The 24,857-nt window shown below is 42.7% G+C and overlaps 1 protein-coding gene across 12 annotated transcripts in view, besides 1 other annotated feature; it reads right to left on the bottom strand.

Moving 5' to 3' along the window:
* The window catches only part of TIAM1 (TIAM Rac1 associated GEF 1), a 440,670-nt gene that overhangs the window by 219,422 nt on the left and 196,391 nt on the right, over positions 1 to 24,857 (bottom strand). For 8 of the 12 annotated variants that reach the window (NM_001353690.1, NM_003253.3, NM_001353688.1 and 5 more), the window contains one exon: positions 1,404 to 1,583. The gene's annotated coding sequence lies outside the window, so the exon portion shown is untranslated. Of the gene's footprint in view, positions 1 to 1,403; positions 1,584 to 6,298; positions 6,423 to 24,857 lie in introns of those variants that run through there. The other 4 variants (NM_001353687.2, NM_001353686.2, NM_001353694.2 and 1 more) reach the window with 2 other exon arrangements.
* Positions 520 to 1,719: an enhancer, noted in NCBI's record as "MED14-independent group 3 enhancer chr21:32710674-32711873 (GRCh37/hg19 assembly coordinates)". NCBI's record gives its function as "activates an origin of replication core promoter dependent on BRD2, BRD4, P300/CBP and CDK7 cofactors, and independent of MED14, by STARR-seq in HCT116 cells {active_cell/tissue: HCT116}" and the evidence as "EXISTENCE:reporter gene assay evidence [ECO:0000049][PMID:35650434]".

Consider the following 24,857-nt stretch of genomic DNA (forward strand, 5'->3'; position numbering starts at 1 on the left):
TATATGATTATTTTTACCCCTTGAAAAAGGCATGTAGCCTAATTATGATAATACAATGTGTCTGTATTATCACAGGGAAAGTGAGTGCTTTGGCTCCGCTCTCTGTTGGAGGGTGCCCTTAGGGACTGGATTCCCTTTAACCAACTACCTGGGAGTCCCTGTACCCCCAGGGCATCCCTAGCAAGGGCTAACCCTGAGGAGGGTGCACATATTCCAGGTCAACCCGGAGGTTTTATCTGCTCCGTGTCCAGACAGCCCTTGAAAGAAAGGTTTCTCCAAGCCACTGTGTACATGCGGAGAAAGGAGTGGCTACGCTGCTGTGCGTCTGGATGCAGGCAGAGCGGAGCAGCAGGTAAGACTGGAGGAACAAGTCACGGCAAGATCTGCAAAGCAGGACCCGGAATGCAGGGTGGGAAACTCTAAAAGTTACAGGAATCATGCATTCCTCAGGAAGCACCTGTGATTCTTGCCCTCTCTCAAGTCCACAGTCTCCTATTGTGTTCAATTTCTGGACCAACCAACATAGGAGCCCAACCTGGTAAAGGTTAAATAATGCATCCCGATGTCACCTGCTAACAAGGTCGAGGTGCGTTTGTCCACGAGAGGAAGGCAAAGTTGAAAAGAACAAGAGCAACTTCACATAGCTAGAAAGCCCCTTTTGGTCTACGTCATTCTCCTCCTAGGAAGTAAACGGGGACTGCATGGGCTAACGTGACCGTTCCCACTTAGAAGGGAAACTGAAGTACCCACAGCCCTTTCTGCTGGAATTCCCTAGAAGGGGTCTGTGCCACATACAGGAAGTAGGGAGGGTGTCTTTGCAGCATATTTCTTCTCTTGGAGTTAACTGCGAACGTTGCACGGCGACCTCTTGATCCATTCTGTGAAAGCCCCAAGCCTGTCATGCAATAAAGACGTCCAGTTTCACCGCAGCAGGGAGGCCGCATGAAATATTCCACTTGAACAAAACCACTTAGCAGTTTACATCAATGCTTACCCTGTCGCATTGAAAGTGATGTGAACCCACACCCAAGAGCCCCCAAACCAGCACGTTGATACCAAGTTTCCCCAGCTGCATCCAAATCAATTCCTTCTTCCCCTTTCCTAGTATCATGGGGGCAGACAAAAGAGAAGTCAGAAAGACAGAGGATTACCCGCAGCCAACTCCAAAATAAAATAACCATGGGAACCACCCAGGAAGAATGGGAAAGGTTCCCAGGAAACCCATTTCAAAGCCTCAGATTGCAAGTGGGGAGACTCAGCAACCCTTTAACCACCAAAACAATCGTCACAAACAATGAACTTTCTATTGTCCCAAAAAAGGTGGATTTGGGCAGGATCAAGATAATAAAGACTTTAAAAGCTTCAATCCTCATTCCCCAGCCTTTTGCAAACGCCACACTTACCCCATTGGAAACAGAAGAGGCTTTGTCAAGATCTCCAAATGGGCCATCTGCAGGGACTGCTCACATACTAGGTGAGAGACTAGGATTCAGAGCATTATGCCCATGGTACCAACCAGCCTCCTCTTCCTCCTCCTGGGCTTCAGGTCTAGAAAGGTGGGTCTCAGTCCACAGTGATTCTACCTATAAGAGCAACATAAGAAAATAATGGGTTTTGTGCTTCGTTTTTACATACCTCTAGAGATTGCAAGATTATCCTCAGAAACATTAACGTGATAACACAGGAAAAGTACCTTACATGTTGTAGACACTCAATACATTAGAGTATGGATATTTTGATAAGCAGTTCGTATTTTAATAAAGAAGCATTTACCAGGCTTAGTTATCTATAGCTTTGTAGAAAGCACCTTGACTGTAGAGATTCTTGCCCACCAAAATCTCATAGTTAATGGAAACACTGAAGCATGTGGCTGCAAGGTACTAGAGGAAGCTCTACGATTCAGTACAAGAGCTCACAAATCAATCCACCCTGAATCATTCAAGAAACAAAACTTTCCAAAAGTGATGATCTCTTCCCTAAAAGTGTTACCAATGAAAGCCATGCTAACACTTGTTTTCAAGCAACGGCATCAAAATAAACTGGAGAAGTGGGTGTTGCAAAATACTCATGAAAACGACGCCTCCTTGTTCTCCATTCTCATGAAAGCATTGGCTAGAACAAAATAGCACCACTGGGTCATAGTGGGCAGGCCAGACCAGGTGCAGCTAGTCAATCTGTCTTCATTGAAAATAACTCCACACTTGAAGCTGATTCACTACCCAAAATGTAAACCAAGACTCACTCCTTGAGCAAAGCAGAACTTTAGCATAGCACCATAAAGCAAATGAAGCCTTTTCCCAGCTCACAATCCCTTTCCATCCCCAGTCCAGTCCCTTGCAATACTAGATGCATAAATAAATGCTAAGTAATTATGCCATTACATAGGACAAGGTCCTTATACCCTAGGACCTTGTCAACTGAGAGACCCTAAGAAGAACCAATGGCTCAGGGTTGGGCAAACTCAATAACGCTACATTCCCTTGTCGGGGAATATTAACCAGCCAAGCTCCTCTGTCCTATGCTCTTATTGTCCCTTTTTGGTTACAGCATCAACCATAATATCAAACAATCAACACTTCCCCCAAAAGTGCTTAGAAACTCCAAGGTCTGAAAAAGTACTCCAAGGTCTGTGGCACGAAACTGCTATGGCAGTCACCAGCATCGTCTATCTTCACGTTTAATTCTTTTCCTGTTTTAATTTAATTTTTAGAGAGGGGGTCTCACTATGTTGCCCAGGACAGCCTCAAACTCCTGGGCTCAAGCAACCCTCCCGTCTCAGCCTCCTGAGTAGCCGGGACTACAGGCACACACCGCCATGACCAGCTTCCAAGTTAAATTCTTGAGTAACTAAATTTAACACACTTTGCCTTCATAGAAGCAACCCACTAACTTACATCTCAGTCGCTGCCAAGTTTCGGGCTTTGTACTCATTTCATTTTTACACTAAAGGCAGGCAAAAAAAAAGGAAAGAAAAAAACAACAGAGCAGAGCAGTGGGTAAGATCCTTAGGAGATGAGACAAACTGAGAGGAAAAAAAAAAACCAACACTGGGAAAGTAAGATAAAAATTGGAGGGAAGAAATGGTAAGATAATCAACTAGGAAAACAAGATAAAAATACTGAAAATATGGAACTTGCCCATAATGAAGAGAGAACAAATGGGGGAAGTGGTTTTTGTTTTATTCTACGGCAGTAACTTCACCTTCCTTCACCTTCCATTGAGAGAAGTGGAAAGGTTGGAGGTAGGACAAGAAAGGGTAGGAGGCAGAAAATACTAATCGTTACACTGAAAACACTAAGTGTCACTATTAAATGCCTACTTTGTGCCAAACAAAGGATAGAAACCTTACACGAATATTCATAATGAAATCTCATTATACGCTGAATTCACAGTGCAATTTCACAATCAGTTTCCAGATCACATTTGGGGAAATACAAGTTCAGAGAGGTTAGGCAATTTTCCTGAGGCCACACAGTCAAAAGGGGCAGAGCAAGAATTCAAAGCCAGGTCTTTCTGACTCCAGCATCCTTTCTGATATACTTAGAAAGAATCTGTTCTGAGAAAACTTTAAAATGCTCAGACTCATGCATTAAATATGAACCAAAATGAAGTGTCTTCTCCAGTCATTACAGCAAATTTGTTCTGCTGTCGTACAAGGTAAATCTGTATTGTCAAGTGGGTTGAAAGTACCTACAATTCACTTTAAATTACCAGTAAGTCTTATGTAAATTCTAGTTACATTTTTCCAGAACAATATCACAGGGTGTGCCTCAATTAATACACAAAACCCACCTTGGAACAATTTGGTCCACTGTGTGTGGTGTTCACAAACAGAAAGTATATTTTAATAAAACTGAAAAAACATAATCTATGTCAAACATACAAAGACAAATACATGGTGTCCTCCTACTTGCAGCTAACGAACTCAGTTGCTAATTTTCAAAGGCTGTTTAAGGCCTTTTTCGACAGAGTTCCACTGGGCAGAATTTTAAAAATGAATATAAACTCAAGAAAGGAGGTGGCCTTTGTTTGTGTTCCAATTAAGATACCATCAAAAATCGAAGTTGGTTCTTCCAAAAGACCAATAAAATTGATAATACATTAGCAAGACTGATGGGGAAAAGGTACAAATAACGCCATGAATGAAAAAGGAAACATATCTACAGATACTACAGTCTTTAAAAATATTATGAGGACAGCATGTTCAATATTATACCAATTTTAAATTGTACATAAAATGGGAAAATTTCTGTAAAAATTAGGTATTAAAACAAACAATTTTAATGATCTAGTATCTATTAAACAAATTTACAATTTAAAAACAGTCAGATAAGGTGGCACATGCCTATAGTCCTAGCTATACAGGAGGTTGGGGCGGGAGGATCACTTGAGCCCAGGAGCTCCAGTCCAGCCTGGGCAACAGAGCAAGACTCCATCTCTAAAAAGAAGAAATAAGTGAATAAAATTTAAAAATATAACCAACCAGAGACAAACCAGCTTATTTACTGGGAGAGGTGGGGAGACAATATGAAAAGATAATGATACAGAAATTGCCACTTTCTCTCACATCTACACGGTCATATACTAGCATTAACCCCAATTTCAAATGTCCTCATGATGGTATCTTCCAACAGTCACATGTGACAATATCTAAAAACCTTTGCTCTATGAACAATGCAGTTCCCCTTTTTGTAGCTAAGAATTATTGTTCCATAAAACTCCGTCTATTAGTCAGTTTCACCAGCATTATCATGAGATCCAATTTGGTTGTCTTTCCTGTTGAGTGAGTTACTAAAGGTTCCTTGTGGGGTGGAGGGGCGTGAGGGAGTAGATCACAGACCTCATGTCAGCATCAATTTCACATCTACCTGCTGCTGGGTCCTTTCTTGAGCTCAAAATGAGCTAGAACTCAGGGCTCTAGCCCTGGATCATGCAACCTGTTGTTCTTCCCTAAGCCATGTCTGATTTGGTTTAAAAGTAATTTCCTCTCCATCTGTATCTTTAACTTCAAGGAAGTGGGAGAGTCAGAGCAAGCTAAGCAAACTGCGGCCCCAGCAACCTGCCTCCCGACCCCCAAAGTTCAAGGGAAGGTATGCTGAGAGAGTCTGCCAATTCCGCTTCGATATAAGAAAAATGATAAAATCAGCTACTGACATTTTCCTGATTGTACCCACCCCAGACCTGGGAAAGAACATTTGGCTTGCTATAAATACAACAGGAGCCACACATTTTTCACCTTCATTTCTTCCCCTCAAAGTAAGATGATTCTGTAAACATTCTCATGAAGGATTCGCTTACAAAAAAACAAAAACCAGCTCCAGCTGCTGGTGTACTATTAAGTTGTTGATCAGGTATGAAACAAGTGCAACAGGTAACAGTTAACCCAATAGCCTCCCTCTGACCCCTACACACTGAGCAAAAGCTACACAGGCCAAATGGAAGCCCAGTGACCAGCTCCAGACTTGAAATAAAACCTAAATCCTGTCTGTGAGAAGCCTCATTTGAGCTAAGTTTATCCTTTGCTGGGACATACTGCCACTTGCAATGATCCCAGCCCCCAGCACCACCTTCCACCCAAACTTCCTCTCACAAAATTGACTTAGGCAATCGATCCAAAGGTAAGCTAGCTTTCACAGAAAGACAGACATTTAAAAAAATGATCCAGATAAACAAATCACACCTCCACAGCCAGGAACCTAGAGTCGAACTAATTTAATCAGATGTAAAATTAATGAGAACCCCGAGACTTCCGACGTCCCACTCCAGAACTCCCATCCAGGTGCGGTCGGGAGCCACAGCTTCTGAATATTCCTTCGGAACTTTTTTCTCACTTGATTCCCAAGCCTGTCATGGGGTTCTTTTTCAATGGCACTGACCTGCAATTACCCAACGAGCAGCGGGACAGCCCCGGGCAGGACGCATCCTGGGTGGGTGACGTGATCCCGCAGTCTCCTCCCCGACCCCATATCCCATACAATGATCCTCGCTTACAGAAGTCAAGGGGGAAAGATGACGCTTTCAAAGCCCGAATCTCTTTACCCTGGAGCCAGAACCAGCGTCGCCGCCGTCCCCTGCAGCTCAGCCGGCAACGCGCGCCGAGCCTCGGGGCGCAGCTTGGAGACGCGCTTGCTCGTTCTGGGAAGGGGCACGGGACGCACGGTTCCCCGGCCCCAGCTGCACAGCTCAGCTCGGGGCTCTCACCTATCCTCGTTCAGAGCCACATTCGGCTGCCTCCCCTGACCACCCGACACAAAGAGATTCGCCGGTGGAAAGAATCGATTTCAAAATTCAAGCTCACCGCTGCTCAACAAGGCGCGCACGTTTCTCCCCGTCTGGCTTCACATGTCCCAAACTTCCAGTAACAGAAATGAGGAAGCAGCAGCCTTCCCCGGCTGCTGGCGGAGGCAGTGGGTGTAACTTGTGAAGTTTCGTGCTATGATGAATCTGGTCACTTGGGTGTGTTGGAGAGGGTTGGTCGCTCCTCCCTTCCTCCTCCCACCATCACCTCCCTCCTCTCCGCCTCCCTCTCCAATTTAATTCTTCCCTCTGGCATTCGCCGGCTGTCACTCAGAATCCCAGCACCCTCCCCACCACATCCTTGGGGGCAATGTATTTCGAAAAGGTCTTAACCATTTTACGGATGAACCTGGTCACCCTGCACAAAGCGTGAGTGCTTGTCAAATAATTTTCTACAGCACGTGGCAAAAAAGCAGCGCCTCTTAAAAGATATAAAAGGCCAGCAATGTTACATAAGCGCCCCCCACCAGCCCTTCAAGGACAGAAACGTGGGTAGTTCATTCAGTGGAGACCTAACTCCCAAACATCTATTGAAAAGGAGTGAAGGGCAGAAAAACAGAAACCAAACTTTCAGTTGGCTGCCTTTTCTTTCATATGTACTAGAAAGTATTTCCAATATACAACATATATTTGAAAAGAATATAATGAACACCCACGTGCCCACCATGTAGCATAAAAAAATTAAAATTACTCACATAGTGGAAACTATCTGTCAACCTCTTCCTCGCTGAAATACATCCCTCTTTCCTTCCCCCTGGAAAGAAAACTGCCCCAAATTTGATTTCCCATGAGCAATTTTTATATCAGTTTCTAAAAATGTGAAAGGGAACATGCTAACTTAAAGTTTACCAGAAAGCCATGCAATGAACATCCCTCTGCTGTGCTTGACCTTGGTTTCCAAACAGAAGTTTCTTTAAATAAAACTTTAAATGACCTCAGGTTAAATGATGCCTCAGGTGGCTGGTTAAAGAGAATGAAAGAAATCACAAAAGAAGAAAACGGTAAATCTGAAGTGACAAGTGAGAGGCTATATCTGAAAGGGTTGAAGCATTCATGGATGAAATTGATAGATTAATAGAGTATTATCATTTTATAAGGTTAAAAGCTGTGCCAAAAACTAAGGATACTCATCCATACTGCAAGGGACTTTCCTCAAAGACACAGGCTACAAAAATAAAAACCCAACATTCATTAAAGAAGTCATAATGACTCAAATGCCAGCCAGGGATGCAGCCTGGAAACAGTACTCTAAAAAGGGAACTTTCAGAAACATTTAAACTTGACTCAAATATATATGTATATATATCCATATATATATTTTATATATATTCATATATATCCACACGGATTCACACATATATATATTCATATGTATATGAACATGAAGAAAGAGATGGCTGGTTCATCTTTACATTCTTGGTAAAGAATATAGGCTGGTATAAAGGCTGGTATAGCAGAAAATTTAATAACCACCTGATAAATGAATTAAGCAAATAAACAAAAGAGTACCCACAAACACATCTAAAGGAACAGAATGGGCACGGTGGCTCACGCCTATAATCCCAGCACTTCGGAAGGCTGAGGCAGGTGGATCACCTGAGGTCAGAAGTTTGAGACCAGGCTGGAAACACGGTGAAACCCCGTCTCTACTAAAAATACAAAAATTAGCCAGGCACGGTGGTGTGTGCCTGTAATTCCAGCTACTCAGGAGGCTGAGGCATGAGAATTGCTTGAACCTGGGAGGTGGAGGTTGCAGTGAGCCAAGATCACACCACTGCACTTCCAGCCTGGGTGACGGAGTGAGACTCTGTCTTGAAAATAAATAAATAAACAGAATGAAGAAAGAGAAGAATGTTTGGATACAGCAATGGTCCTTAGTTGGAGGTGAATTTGCCTCCGGGGAACATTTGGCAATATCTGGAGGCATTTTTGGTTGTCACAGCTGGGGGTTGCTACTGATATCTAGTAGGTAGAGTCCAGAGATGCTGCTCTACATCCTATCATGCATATAACAGGCCCCCACGACAAAGAATTATCCAGCCACAAATGCCAATAGTGCTGCTGCTGCTGAGAAACCCTGATTTAGAAGTTTCACTATCACCTGTCATTTAATTAATGTATTCCATCTATTCCATATAGCATCATCAATTTGAAGAGACTCTCCAGGGACTTAGAAAAACATGAAACAACACTTCTCCTTTTCCACTGTGCAGCATTCAATCGCTGAGAACCATACATATGGGCTCAGAAGAAAGCAGACACTGAGATCAGAGGCAGGAAAGCATCCCGTGGTTTTGGGTGCAGCCTTGGCATCCATGCACTCACCAAGCTACTGACTTACGCTGAATCTGGATGAAAACAATCATGAAGGGGATGGGAGAAGGATGATGTAAAGCCAGGCGGGACTGTCTTGAGAATCAGAGATCGCGTACTTCGGGGAAGCCGACATGGTGTGCAGCGAGAGATGTGACAGATACTGAGACAAAGCAGCCCCATCGAGGCCCATCAGTCATTTCTCCATTGACAATTATGAGTCTCCGCTGGAACTACTCCACACACAACAGGAAGGCGCTTCATCTCATTACAGCATATAGAAAAGAATGTTACAAATCACTCGTGGGAAGAGGAAGGCAAGCACCATGAAGTCAGTGGTCAGAGCATCAGAGCAGTGGGCTTACACGGGGAGCACATCTTGCCTACAGGTTTTCTGGTCTCATGATTACCTAAGAAGGTTTCTTTTAGCTCTGGGTGGGTGGGGGGCATATACTTTTTTTTCACCTTCTTTCTGATATTATTATTTAATTTTGCATGGAGGGGGAGAAGAGCTTTTTGTTGTTACTTAGTGTTTCTCTAAAGGGGACGTGGGGGAACAGTAGGTTTGCTCATCTTGAATTTTCTTAAAGCCACATATATGGTGGGGACGCAATACATACATGTTGGATTAAACCAAATAGTCCCCACCTTCTTCCCTATCTCTCAGGCCTAAAAATAAAGGGTCCCCTGTAGATGCTTCTAGAGAAGAATAACTTGAGATCAAGAGTCTGAGCAACATGTGAACACGTTACATAAACCCTGCTGGCTCCATACAGTGGCGGGCAGGTTTTCACAGATCTGAACAGAACGGCTTACCTGATAGTGATGAAAATACAGCAATATCAGAACTGGAGAGGCCCCAGGCATTGGCCTTGGGCCTCGGAGGGAAGCAGGACTTAGCATCCAAGAATTTACTGCTATAGCAGAAGGGCTGTGTCCTCCTGCCCAGGAAGATTCCCCCACAACACTAGTAGACAAGTGGGCAGTAAGGAAGACGCCTATCCCTCTAAAGGTACCAGTTTCTTAACCTGCAGTTCTGAAAGCCACTCGTTTTGCTTTTTAAGTCATGCGAATTTCGGAAAAGAAAATGTGAACGCAGGTCCGAGCCCCATCAGCAGCAATGAACTTATACACAAATGTACAGTATTTCTGCTCCAAAGAAATGCAACCAGTAGAGGGAGCACAGCTGACTTTTGTTGTTAATTTCTCAAGATCGGGATGAACCTGGGAATGACGCTAAATGATACAAAAATAACACACATCACCGCAAAAGAAAAGATGCATGCACGGACGTTCAGAGAAACTGCAAACCCTGACACCCTTATGCACGAACGTTCAGAGAAACTGCAAACCCTGACAACTTTATGCACGAACGTTCAGAGAAACTGCAAACCCTGACACCCTTAGGAGGTATGTGAATTGTTAGTGGATATTTGCACAAGAGCTGGCTAAACAGACAGAAGAGGACTACATAAAAAATAAATTCATGTTGGAAAACAATATGTGGCATGTGGAGAAAAGGTCACAAAGGGTTAAACTTCTTTTTCCCTTTGTCAAGTGGATTTACACTCAGAAATGAAAACGTATGGAGAGTTTATTTAAGCATATTCTCTCCAAAAATTTTAACTCAAGTGTTTAGCTTGCTCACTCTCTCTCTCTATATATTAGATCTACAATAGCTGGGCTTTAAAATTCCTTTCAAATTGCATTCTCAGTGACAGAGATGACTTCCAAAAGCAAGCATTTTCTGGATTGCTCTTCAGGGGTCTCCAGAACCAACTTGGTCAGGAATCAAGGTGTCTTCAAGATCTGCGAATTTGAAGCCATCAGCCACAATGGAGCTTACCTCCACCTTTTCAAGCCTTCATAGAACAAAAACAAGGTAAGAAGTGCTGGCACCAACGCGTCCTCACCTATGTCACCTAGCAACAATGTTATCAGCAGCAAGGCCAGGGAAGAGTCTCCTCCTCCTCCTCGTGTTAGGTGATACGCAACAGGGGTGTCAACACCGTCAAATTACCTGAATCCAAACACGATTTCCCAGCATAACTGCAGTTCCAAATATGCATCCTGTTAATGGAATCCATATTTGGACTGCTATGGAAATGCAGAAGGTTTTTCATAACTACATTTTGTGGTTGACTACCAACGGATTGCCAAAATCAATTTTTTATATTTGAAACTGATGAAAGGTCTAAATATGGATCCATCCCACACACTCCCATGCTAGGTAATCTGAGGGTCTGCTTGGGAATACGGACATGTTTGAAAACACTGCAAACACTTGTTTCAGCCCTGGATGGGGTCTTTCTATTCTCTGAGAGACAAACAAGGTTCACCTTTCTAGGCAAAGTTTTAAAACACAGTCTTCATTAAATTTGATTTGATACAAGAATGTTTTACAACTTCAAAGTAAACCTTATGCCAACCAAACTTAGAGACTCTTTACATAGTTTTCTCTATCTGAAAACAGAATACCTAACAAATACATAGAGATATTCTTAAAAAATACAGGGCCAGCCAAAAAGAGGCCAGGAAACTCTAATAGCTTTTAAACACCACCTCCAGAATGCATTGCAGGGACTGTGTGGCAAATTCCCTAAAATCCAAGGGCTTCAATTTCCTTTACTATAAAATGATGAATGTTCGATTTAATTTTCTCTGCCTTCTGAGCTCTATCTTCCAATTATAAGTTTCCATGATTTTAAAGCCCCCATTGTTTTCATTACCCCAAATTAGATTTCCTTACAGAAGAACAACTTTCATCTAACAAGTCAAAGTCAACAGGGTCAGGACTCCTTGGTAGCCCACATTCTTCTAAGTGAAGCCAGGTTTGTAACTGAAAGGGTGAAGGGAAAAGGGAGGAAGTGCAACCAGAGTTAGATAAAGATAACAAAGAAGGCCAAGGAAACATCCGTGAGCTCTTAGCTCCCACCAGCAATAAACCATATGGGGCCAGATGCTGTCCCACCCACACACACAGTAAGGCTTTTGATTTCAAGGGCCCTGGGTGCCTTGCACAAATGGTGCATGTGTTCACGGGGGGTAAAAGCATCGAAGTTTTTCCTAGTTTGGGACCTTTCAGATACCTCCCTGCTCGGCAGCAATAAACAATAATAATTGTTATTGGCACTAGAAGTAAGATAATATAGAATAACTAAGAAGACAAAAAGTCAAGTTCTAATTTCAGTCCTGCCATTTCTTCAAAGAATGCCAGGATAGCTTTATAATCCCCAGTATAGCCTCTTGAAAAAGCTGGGTCAGGGAGTATCCCATCGGGGAGGCCTCATTGGGTCATGAGAGAAGCAAGGATACAAAATGAGAAGAGCCGGTTCAAGTCCAGGGTCCAGCGACAACCAGAAGAGTAACTCAGAGCAAGTCCCTCTGCCTACCCTTCGGTAAAGTGGGAACTTAAAATAATAGATGCCTATTGGCAATGGAATGCATGGGTTAACAGGCTTTGGACTGGGCACATGCCCAACACTGTCTCTAAATGGGCGAATGGGCACTAAACATGTCAAGACAATTTTCAATCAGGAAATAAGCCAACCCTGTTTCTTAAACGATCTTAGCATTTATAATGTTCTCAATGTTTTCACATTGACGGTGCTATTTTGGCAAAAAGTACAGTTCTGGCACTAGTTACGTGTCAGATAACAGAATGGAGGTCCTTCCCAATGGGGTCACAGAGGGCTCACCCTCTTGAGCCCTAAGCCTTCCCCAGAGAGTCCCTACTGTGGGGAAGTAGCAGGCCACCCTTGTGAGGGTGGACGCAGTGAGCCACAAAGGCCCGACACTAACCAGGTCCAACCAATTTAATGGTATTTAATGGTATTCATGGGTGGGAATCATTTTGATTTTTATTTTATACTAAGATACAGTAACTGTCACTTTAAAATTTTGGGGGGCCAAAACATACTGGGGCAGGGAGTGGAGAATGACGCTGGCTAAGAAGGTGATATAGTTTGGATATCTGTACCCACCCAAATCTCATGCTGAATTGTAATTTTTGGTGTTGCAGATGGGGCCTGGTGGGAGGTGATTAGATCATGGGGGTGGATTTCTCATGTAGAGTTGAGCACCATCCCCTTGGTGCTGTTCTCGTGATAGTGAGTCAGTTCTCGCAAGATCTGGTTGTATAAAAGTTTGTGGCATCTCCCCGCATCTCTCTTTTGCTCCTGCTCTGGCACGTGACATGTCTGCTCCTGCTTCTCTTTCTGCCATAACTGTAAGTTTTCTGAGGTCTCCCCAGAAGCCAAGCAGATGCCAGCATCATGCTTCCTGTACAGCCTGCAGAACCATGAGCCAATTAAACCTCTTTTCTTTATAAATTACCCAGTGTCAGGTATTTCTTTATAGCAATGCAAGAATGGCCCAATACACGATGAGACATCTAGCACAGGGGTAGGATGGTGAAGTGAAAAGGACCCCACCTATAGACCTGCTTGTAACACATGACACCTTACAGAGTTTTGTACTAACCACAGGCACAAAATCAATTAAAATTAGGTGACTTGTAATGAATAATGGCTAGGGAAACGTGTTGATGAGAATCCACTTGTCTTGTGTTCCCTTCCACTAACATAGGCATTTGATTTCACTCTAGGAATACTTGCTGCCATCTTCCCTAATGTAAATGAAAACCAAACATGTACAAGTTACTTTCAATCAGAGAATACGACAAACCTGTATCTCAAAATATTAAAGGGTCTAACATAGGGGTGACACATTTAGGGTCATAGACCTCTATATGTAAGAGAAGAAAGGAGGTCTTATAAATCACTCATTCATCTGAAGTCAGAAGGAGTAAGTGACTTGTTCAAGCTCACATAATAAAACCATGACAGCTTCAGCCCAGTACCCAGGTCAACAGAAATAAACTTGCTGTATGTTCCACTCAATTATTACCTCCTTTAAAAAATATGTCCATAAAATGAACATTCAATGCAGTGTATGCACATATAATTTGGGGGCTCCAACCTAGTACAAAAGGCACATACAAATAAAAAACAATATAAATTGAGCCCATCTAGAATTAATAAGCAAACCATAAAAAGTGGGTACATGAGAAATTCTTGGCTAAGCTCCAGACAAGCAAGCAAGGGGCCCAGAGACCTGGGAGGGAGGACGCAGTCAAACCCGGATGGCTGGAGGCAGTCTGACTCACCAGCAGCCAGCGTCCTCCCAAACAAATTACAGAGGCAGGCTCAGCAAGAATGCAGGGGAAAGATCCACATGTGCCCAAGGGGTTAAGATAGCAACCTGGTCAAAGATACAGACTTCCTCAGTTAGGAAAGCTCTACCCCTGGAATACCAAGAAATTAAAGTTCATCTCTGGCAGGGCGTGGTGGCTCATGCCTATAATCCTAGCACTTTGGGAGGCCGAGGAGGGCAGATCACCTGAGGTCAGGAGTTCAAGGCCAGCCTGGCCAACACGGCGAAACCCCATCTCTACTAAAAACACAAAAATTAGCCGGGTGTGGTGGTGTGTGCCTGTACTCCCAGCTACTTAGGAGGCTGAGGCAGGAGAATCGCTTGAACCCAGGAGGCAGAGGTTGCAGTAAGCCAGGATCACACCACTGTACTCCAACCTAGGCAACAGAGCAAGAGTCTGTCTCAAAAAAAAAAAAAAAGTGCATCTTTGCTAACGCCACAAAATACCGTCATTTTCACTTGTCTGTGAATATTCATTGCAGCATTACTCACAATAGCCAAGAGGTGAAAACAATCTATGTGCCCATCAGATGAATGAATAAACAAAATGTGGTATATCTCTGCAATGGAATATTACTCAGCCATTTAAATATTGAAGTTCTGATCTGTGCTGCTACATGGATGAACCTTCAAAATATTATGCTAAGTGAAAGAAGTCAGACACAAAAGGACAAATATTGCATAATTCCACTTACACCCAAGTTTTGGACATAGATAGTGGTGATGGTTGTACAACATTGTGAATGTAATTAATGCCAATGAAGTGTGTACTTAAAAATAGTTAAAATGCCAACTTTTATGTTATATATATCTTACCACAACTTTTAAAAAAGATTCCAAAAATATCATTTTCAACGTTTTGGCTCACATATATGTAGCTTTAAAAAAAAAAAAAAAAAAGCTGCTGGCCTGGTACAGTGGCTCATGCCTAAAATCCCAGCACTTTGGGAAGCCGAGGTGGGCGGATCACTTGAGGTCAGGAGTTCAAGACCAGCCTGGCCAACACAATGAAACCTCATCTCTACTTAAAAATAAATAGATAAATAAATAAATAAATAAATATTAGCCAGGGATGGTAACGCACACCTGTAATCTCAGCTATTTGGGTGGCTGAGGCACAAGAATAGCTTGAACCTGGGAGGCGAAGGTTGCAGTGAGCTGTAATCATGCCACTGCACTGTAGCCTGGGCAAAAGATTAAGACTCTGTCTCAAAAAAAAAAAAAAAAGTTGCTGCTAAAAACAAAAGTAATCAAAACTTTACACACATTAACCAAGCCTTCCAATAAGCCAACTCTTCCTGTCATATCACCATGATCTTCACACGCCCAGATAAGTGATTTTCTCTGATTGTAAGAGATAAAATGACATTGCCTCACCTATCAAGGTAAATCTTTCACAATTATGAAGATAAAACAAGGCACACCCTTGCACAGTATGCTGGAGGCACAGCAGTAGGGAACAGCTGCTTCCACCAACCCATCCCAACCCCAAATTTCAACGCATATCAAGAAACCAAAAAGGGTCAGATATGAGTCCAAAACCCTAACAGTGGGGGAAATGAATCAAACCCAAATTCTTAATTGTAAATATTAAATGTTACACATGTTAACTGACCACATTCAGGTGTACCCTCAACTCGCAGTAATTTCAGCAGTTAAGACGTAAGCAGGGGTGCCAGGCAGTCTAAGTGAGAATTGCGGGTCAGCCAGGAATTCCTCTTCCAGTCACAGGCCTATCCCTTAATCTTCATAAAGCCTCAGTCCCTCATCTGTAAAATGGGAATAAGAGCATTTCCCTCATAAAACTATGTGAAGACAACTTTGATGACAATGAGTTGCTGACATTTCCTGAGCACTTTCTCTGTGAAAGCCACTAGGCTAGGGGCTGCTCATTCAATTTTCTACCTGGTCCTCATGACAGCTCAGCAAGGTACTACTTATTACTAGACCCATTTAACAGATAAAGAAAACTGAGGCACGGAGAGGTTAAATGAACTGCCCAAAGCCACTCAACAAGTAAGAGGCAGGTCTAAAATTCTAACCTAGTCTCTGTGAGGCTGGGACCCCAGCTCTCTCCAACCTCACTACTGCATTTGGGCTACAATCTTGTCATTAACAACCTTGACATCCTTACATTTGATTTATTTGTTTTTATTTATTTATTTATTTATCTTTTTTTTTTTTTTTTTTTTTGAGACAGAGTCTCACTCTGTTGCCCAGGCTGGAGTGCAGTGGAGTGATTTCAGCTCACTGCAACCTCTGCCTCCTGGGTTCAAGCGATTCTGTGTCTCAGACTCCCAAGTAGCTGGAATTACAGGTGCCCGCCAACAAGCCCAGCTAATTTGTGTATTTTTAGTAGAGATGGGATTTCACCATGTTGGCCAGGCTGGTCTCGAACACCCGACCTCACACAATCTGCCCACCTCGGCCTCCCAAAGTGCTGGATTATAGGTGTGAGCCACCATGCCCGGCCTTATTATTACTAATATTACCCTTTGTATCATGAATCTCAGTTTCTGGGTTCACAAAGTCAGAGGGCTGAGTGTGATTCCCAAAGCCTACACTTACTCATGGAGAACCTCATGCCCTCTTAAGGACAAATGTGGCAGGCAAGCAACATATTTTAGGGTTTGTCATGAAGCTCCTGGAAGTTAATTGTCACTCCGTCTGAGAAAGGTGAGTGAACAAGGTATCTAACGTGAGCCAGCTCAATTGCACAAGAGGCAAATAATATGCATAATGCATGTGTGGGAGATTCCTAAATGTATTCCTGGGGCCCTTTCACAGAACCAAGGACCCCCCCTCCACACCCCCACCACACGAAGAGGCAAGTTCAAACTCTGGACTGAGATAATTAACGGCTGGTGGATATTTTACACTGACCTATTTATAATACCTCCCTGAAGTACTAATGTTGGTTCACAATCAAAAGAAATACATACTGAACAGAATCTTGCTCGCAGCTGAACCACCCAACTTCCCGGTAAAACATGCATGACAGGTGACTCACAAGGATGACACAGTTCCTGGCACAGGCACCAAGAGTTACTACCGGTGTGGAGGAGGCTCAGCCAGCAAGTTGACAAACACTTCACCACATCACCTAAAACACCAAAGTTCAACCCTATGCTCTCAGATGCCTGGTTTCTGAGAAAGGGAATTTCTCAGAATGGGACCACAACGCTGACAACCTGCCCAGCTGACAATCCTTGCTGTGGGCTGGCAGACGCCAAGATAAGTCATCTCTGACTTTTATTTTTCTCAGCCTCAACAACTTCACACACCTTGCTTAGGCTCAGGCTTATGATTCAGACTTCTCACCCCTCCCAAAGCCCTGTACCCTGGGAGCCTTTGTTCTTTTTCTGGCCACAGATGAACTCAGCCCATTAAAGAAGAGCTGTAATCCCTTACACATATAACTTTCCATTGGCAAAAATTAGTCAGGTCGGCTGGGTCTGAGGTCAGCAGTCTCCTGCAGAAACACCCACCAGACACTGTTCCCCCACCACCAAAAAAAAAAAAAAAAGGTAGCGGCTAATGAACTGCCCATTAACCGTCTGGTAGAAACACACACACAGATACTACTGACTCATTCCATTTCAATAACCAAAAACAATATTCTTGGCCTTTGGCATGAATATGGGTTTTTGTTTTCTTAAGGATAGTGGCCACCTTGGTCTATTTGCTCCCGTGCAAACTTGTTCATCTTCCGCTTATGAAGGTAACCTTAGACTTGAGGTCTTTGTTCAACATCACCTTCTCAATGAAGGTGTCCTCCTGGCCAGTGGCCCCACCCCACCACCTCCACCCCTCATCCCTGGCACATTTCCTTTCTTACTTCCCTGATTTATTTTTCTCTCCTTTATTATTTATTTATTTATTTATTTATTTATTTATTTATTTATTGAGAAAGAGTCTCGCCCTGTTGCTCAGGCTGGAGTGCAGTGATGTGATCTCGGCTCACTGCAACCTCCACATCCCAGGTTCAAGCAATGCTCTTGCCTCCGCCTCCTGAGTAGCTGGGACTACAGGCGCGTGCCACCACACTGGGCTAATTTTTGTATTTTTAGTAGAGACAGGGTTTTGTCATGTTGGCCAGGCTGGTCTCAAACTGCTGGACTCAAGTGATCTGCCCGCCTCGGCTTCCCAAAGTGCTGGGATTCAGGCGTGAGCACTGCGCGCCCGGCTATTTTTCTCTCCTTTGTACACATGCTGAATATTTTCTTATTTTACTCTTTTTCTTGTTTCTCTCCTCCACTAGAACATAAGCCCCACAAGAGCAGGCACTTTTATCCATTTTGCTCACAGTTCTATTGCAAGTGCCTAGAAGAGGGCTTCATACGTGGTAGACTCTCAACAAATATTGCATGATTTGAATAACGGTCATTCATTACCCCGAGATGATAATTCAAGACAAGAAGCATGATCAAAACCACCCAGGTCTGAGGTCTCTTCTTTAACCATAGAAAAAAAGTCCTTTTAACCAATTCCTTCTGAATCCTTAACAGCAAAGAAAGAAATAAGGAACAATAGGAGAAATAGACATTTATGTCAATAATACACAAACACTTGGAGTTTTCAACTTATACATTCACTAAGGATGTTCAAGACACTGCATGCCAAATCTCTGAAATACACAGATTATTAATAATAAAGGGTAAAGATACCAATTGCCCGTATGCCATCATTGTCATGCATCCCCCCCACAGCTCACACCTCCCATCTTTTCAGACCACTCAATCTCATACTCTGTTAGGGTCTGAATGTTTGTGTCCCCTCAAAATTCATATGTTGAAATCCTAACCCCCAAAGTGATGGTATTCTAAGGTGGGGGCCTTTGGGAGAGGATTAGATCATGAGATCGGAGCCCCCAGGATTGGGATTAGTGCTCTTTTAAAAAGAGGTCTCGGAGTTCATTCATCTCTTTCACTGTGTAAGGACATAGCCACAAGGCGCTGTCCAGAGGAAGCAGCCCCTCACTAAACACTCAATCTGCTGTTGCCTAGATCTTAGACTTCTCAGCCTCCAGACTGTGAAATACATTTCTGTTGTTTATAAATTATCCAGTCTGTGGTATTCTGTTATAGCAGCACCAATGGAATAAGACACACTCCAAGAATCCCTTCATAGCTTCGATATTTCATGCTCCTCCTTAAGAAATGTAGATTCCATCTGGGCGCAGTGGCTCAGGCCTGTAATCTTAGCACTTTGGGACACTGAGACAGGAGGATGGGGCTTGAGCCCATGGGTTCGAGACCAGGCTGGGCAACACAGCAAGAGCCCATCTTTAAAAAATAAATGAATGAATAAACATTTTTAAAATTTTTAAAAGAGAAGTGTAGATTCCATCATCTGTCATTAATTTCCCTCCCTCAACTCCCTGGCCCATCTTTTACTTGGTCATATCCTTTTGGCAAAAACATCTGGTTAAATCCATCAGACTGCCCAGTTCACACCTGTACCCAGACAGCTGACTGTGGCTAGAGAAAACAGAAGAAAGCATGCAAACATGTTGGCTGGTCTCACTTTAAATTCCTGACCCCTAATGTCAAGTGTCCCCTTAAATGCCACTGGCAATCACACCAAAATTCTCTGTCTATTCCCTCACCCACACTCACGAAGTTTATGTCTTCTGCTTTCCTTCCAGATTCCCAACAATTTCTTCCCATCTGATGACCTTTTGTTCTACTTCTCTGAGAAAAATGAAGCAATCAGAGAGGACTACCACAAACTTCTAAGACTATATATATTCTCTGGTGATCTATCTGCATGCAGGTATATACACTCTACCTTTCTGCCTGTTGATGTAGACAACTATCCATACTCCTCTCTAAAGCCAACCCCTCCACTTGTGATGAGGTCCAATCTCCACCCCTTGCTCACTCAAGGGCAATGTTTTAGCAATTTTCCTCTCTCTCCTCCACATCATCAAATTATAACTATGAAAATTTGCTGCTTTCTCCCTCTCCTTTGCAGAAATATTAAAAGAGGCATCTGTATTTGCCATGTTCCCTTATTTTCCCCATTCTCTCTTAAACCCACTCCAGTGCATCTTCCATCCAACCACGTGCTGTTCTCAAGGGCACTAATGATCTCCCGGTTTATAAAGCCAATGTTTCTCTCTTGTCTTCATTGTACTTGACCTATTCTATCAGCAGCATTTGACACCACTGATTACTCATTCTGCTCTGGTGTACTTTCTTCAATTGCTTCCAAGACACCATAAATTCTTCTGCCTTGCTGGCTGCCTTTGCTGGTTCCTCCTCTTCTCCCTGACCTCTTAATGTTGGAGAACCACAGGGCTTAGTCCTTGGTCCTCTTCTCTCTTTTCTTTACACTGTGGTCCTCAGTGAGGGAGATAGGTAGATCCACTGTCCCGATCTTAACCCAAAGAAAGACTTGCTGTCCAGCTACGGGGGCTGTGGTCAGAAGGCAGCCTCGAGCCTTCAGTTCCTGCAGGACCTGTCTCAGGGCAGAGGGCGGCATCCCAGGGTAGGCCATATCTGGTGACTGAATGAGGCAGGGATAAAGGACTGGTCATATCAGCCTCTGCAGGACAAGGATGATGGGCAGTATTAATTCCAGAGCTTCCAGCCAGGTTGTTCTACACCACTGTTTGACTTCTCCACGCGGTCCTGCTTGCTTCCTCTTTCTTTTGCAGTTCATCTAAATGCCGTCTTCTTGCCTGTTTCTGGAGAAATCAACCTACAACTCTTGGAGATCCCCTCCGGTCTCATGACTGCGAATACTTTCCACATGCTAACAACTCCCAATGCATGTCTCTAGCCAGTGCTTTTTCCCCTAGACTCCACAATCGAATACCGCACTGTGCACGTACACCCTCTGGGTATCTTCCAGGTGCCTTTCCCAGCTGAGCTAAGGGCAATTGAACCCTCCCAACTATTCAGACCAAAATACTTGGTGCCATACTTGCCTTCCCTTTCCTTTCACATCCCACATCGAATCAGTCGGAAAATTCTGTTGCATCCACTCTCCAAATATGTGCCAATCCAAATCTCTTCTCACCCCTTCCTGCTGCTGCCACTATAATCCGAGCCACCATTCTCTACTAGATTACGACAAAACCTCTGAACAAGTCTCCCTGTTTCCACTCTTGTCCTTCTACAATCCATCCTCATCCAGGACCATGGGGATCCTTTTAAAGTATAAATTAGATCACAGCATTCCTCCGCTCAAGGGGTAAAAGCCAAACTCCCTAGAGGGACCCACAAAGCATATCACCCCTCTGGCCTCGTTATTACTTCTCTGTCCTCATCTCCTGCTGCTTCTCCCCTTGTTCATGCCACTGAAGCCACACTTGGCCTCCTCGATGTTCCCTGAACTTTCCAGACACACTCCCTCTTTCTGGAACATTCCAGGTAGGCTGCTAATTTCTTTATATTCTTTTAGTCTTCATTCAAATGGTACCATCTCATCACTATACCCTAATCTACCCCGCTTACCTCCCAGAACTGCCCACCCACCCAAAGCAGGTCTACTTTGCTTTTTTAAAATATCATTTCCCACTTCCAACACACTGAATCATTAAGTTAAACTTAATTAATTCATTTAAAATGAAGACGTAACTCATTACAATTAATAAACAATTATTTATTTTTTAATAGTAATTCACAAAGACAAGGGTCTTTGCCTCTTTTGATCACCAAAGTATCCCAAGTACCTAGGACACTGCCTAGCACACAGTAGGACCTAAAAATAAATACATTTGTTGAGTGAACAAATAGTATTTGCTCTTCACAAGATTAGGTTGGCAGAATGAAGCATAAAGGGACAAAAATAAAACAAAGAAAGAAAGAGAAGGTAGGAGACATAGAAAATACAGTGAAAGGGCCGGGCATGGTGGCTCACGCTTGTAATCCCAGCACTTTGGGAGGCCGAGGCAGGAGGATCACAAAGTCAAGAGTTTGAGACCAGCCAACATAGTGAAATCCTGTCTCTACTAAAAATACAAAAATTTAGCAGGGCATGGTGGCGGGTGCCTGTAATCCTAGCTATTCAGGAGGCTGAGGCAGGAGAATTGCTTGAACCCGGGAGGCAGAGGTTGCAACAAGTCGAGATCACACCATTGCACACCACCTGGGAGACAGTCCACAACTCTGTCAAAAGAGAAAAAGAAAGAAAAAGGAAGGAAGGAAGGAAGGAAGGAAGGAAGGAAGGAAGGAAGGAAGGAAGGAAGGAAGGGAGGGAGGGAGGAAAGACAATGAAAGGATGTAATATGAAGAAAAAAGAGAACTGGACTGAAGAGATACAGGTTGGAAATTTCCCAAAATGCAAAAAAGATACCAACCCATAGATTCAAGAAGTCCTACAAACCCTGAACAGAATAAATAAAAATATATTTACACCTAGACATGTCATAGTGGAACTGGAAAGCCAAAGGCAGAGAGAAAAACCATAAAAGCAACAAGAAGGAGACTGATGAGCTATTGTACTAAGAAGCAACAATTAGGCAGAGAGCCGACTTCTCAGCAAGAACAGATGCCAGAAGATAATGAACTGGTATCTTCTAAGTGTTTGAAGAAAATCACCGCCAACTGAGAATTCTATATGCAGCAGAAATAAAGATAATTTAAGACGGACAGAAGTATAATAATAATAATAATAATTAACAATAATGTCTTAGATGTTTAGAATAGTATGAAAGAAAAAAATTTACTATATATTATAATCCAGTAGAGAATAAAAGGAGTTAATATACTCTAATGTCCTTGTATTATCTAGGAAGGCTAATGTCCTTGTATTATCTAGGAAGGCTTCAAAGTACTAATTTATATTAGACTTTGCAATCCAAGGTAGCTATGGGTAATCCTGAGGTTTTTTTAATAGGATAGACATTAAAAAGCCAGTAACTGATCATTCTGACTACATTCCAGGTAAAAACTTAGTTGTTTACTTAAAAAATAAACAAGACAATAAAATGCAAGCCACACGGTGAGACAATGTTTGCGACTCATGCAACTGACAAGGAGATATTATGCAGAATAATTTAAAACACACACATGCACACAACTGTACAAATCAATAAGAAAAACATCAACTACCAAATAAAAAATGACAAGTGACATTTGTCAGGCAGTTCACAAAAGAAAATATTCCAATGACCAATAAACCTATGAATAGGAGCTTGGCCATGCTGGTTTTTCAATTTACAAAATGTAAATTCAAACCAGGAAATCCACTTATTACCAGAAGAGCTAGAATTGAAATGACTAATAACACCAAGGTTTTCTGAGGGCATAATGCAAGAGGAACTCCCTTATCCTACTAGGGAGAGTGTAATTGGGTCAGGCACTTTAGTAAAGATGAAAAATCAGCAATTTCAATTCTAGAAATACACCCCAAGAAACACATGGACATGAGTGCTGGGGAAGGTATCTCCAAAAAAAGTCCATTGTAGCACTATTCACAATAGTCAAACATTGGAACTAATCCAAATGATCACCAGCAGTAGAATGGATTATGAAGTTATAGCCTATTTATACCATGAAATTGTATAATAATTAAAGTGTACAAACTAGAGCTACACCCAAGAGAAAAGTTGAGGAAATAAAGCCAGACCCAGAATACTTAATAAAGTATGATTCCACTGATATACAGTTCAAAAACAAGCAAAATTAAACTACAGTGCTTAAGAATCTACACTCAAGCACTAAATGTGAGACAAGAAGCAAAAATATGATTCCATAAAAATCAAGCCTGGTTGTTATCTTTAGGAGGCAGGGAGAAAATTGTGATTGAGGATGGGAGGGGAGGCTTTCTTGGGGGCTGCCAATGTTGCATTTCTCGAGCTGGTGATGGCCACATTACCCAGTAGGCTGTACAGTCACGTGTTGTGCACTGTTCTGAATGTGTGGCATGTTTCACAATTTAAGAAGAGTTATAAAATCCACATAAACTATCCTGTAGACGAATATTTCCCACTGAATAGTAACCCCTTCCCAAATAAGAAAGCCTTTTAGATTTTGGCTATAGATATAAAATCTTGTATAAATATCACTGCTTCATTAAACCACTCAAAAGCCCAATGAGTAACACATTTAATGACAGATAAGACAACTAAAGGTGATACTTAGTTCATTAAGACATTCTCCTCTTCCAACTATTAAACTAATAGCAGATGATATTATCATAGATTCCTTTGAGGAAGAAAGATTAGATAGATAGATAGATAGATAGATAGATAGATAGATAGATAGACAGACATGTGTATACATTTGGTATGTATACATATACACATATATACATATACATGCATGTAAGTGTATATACACATACACATATATGTGCATGCAAGTATACATATATGACTGACATAAAAACATGTTCCTTGGCTGGGCACAGTGGCTCATGCTTATAGTCCCAGCTACCAGGGAGGCTAGACAGAGAGATTGCTTGAGCCCAGGAATCCAAGGTTACAGTGAGGTATGATTGTGCCACTGTACTACAGCTTGGGTGACGGAGCTGTCACCCTATCCCTTTTAAAAAAAAAAAGATATACTCTTTACTGTGACTTTATTTGAAAATGAAGGCAGCATAAGAGTGAGTTCAGTGCATCCACCCTCTTCCTTCACTCTCTCTCTGGTGTCACTGGACTGGATGAGTTATGGACATGACAATTCCAGCCCAAGGGCACTAGAAAGTAAGTGAGAAGGGAAGAGCTGACTTATCCCACACTGAGCCCAGAGATTCAAACCAGCCACCCAAGGTTCGCCTTTCTCTTCATGACGAGTCATAGATCCATTACCCATTAATGCAGTGACAATTATTATTATTATTATTATTATTATTATTATTATATTTGAGAAAAGGTCTCGCTTTGTCACCCAGGCTGGAGGGCAGTGGTGCAATCTTGGCTCACTGCAACATCTAGCTCCCGGGTTCAAGCGATTCTCCTGCCTCAGCCTCCCGAGCAGCTGTGACTACAGGCGCCCACTACCACACCCGGCTAATTTTTGTATTTTTAGTAGAGATGGGGTTTCACCATGTTGGCCAGGCTGGTCACGAACTCTTGA

The sequence above is a fragment of the Homo sapiens genome, chromosome 21 (assembly GCF_000001405.40).
Source record: "Homo sapiens chromosome 21, GRCh38.p14 Primary Assembly".
In the NCBI taxonomy this organism is placed as follows: domain Eukaryota; kingdom Metazoa; phylum Chordata; class Mammalia; order Primates; family Hominidae; genus Homo; species Homo sapiens.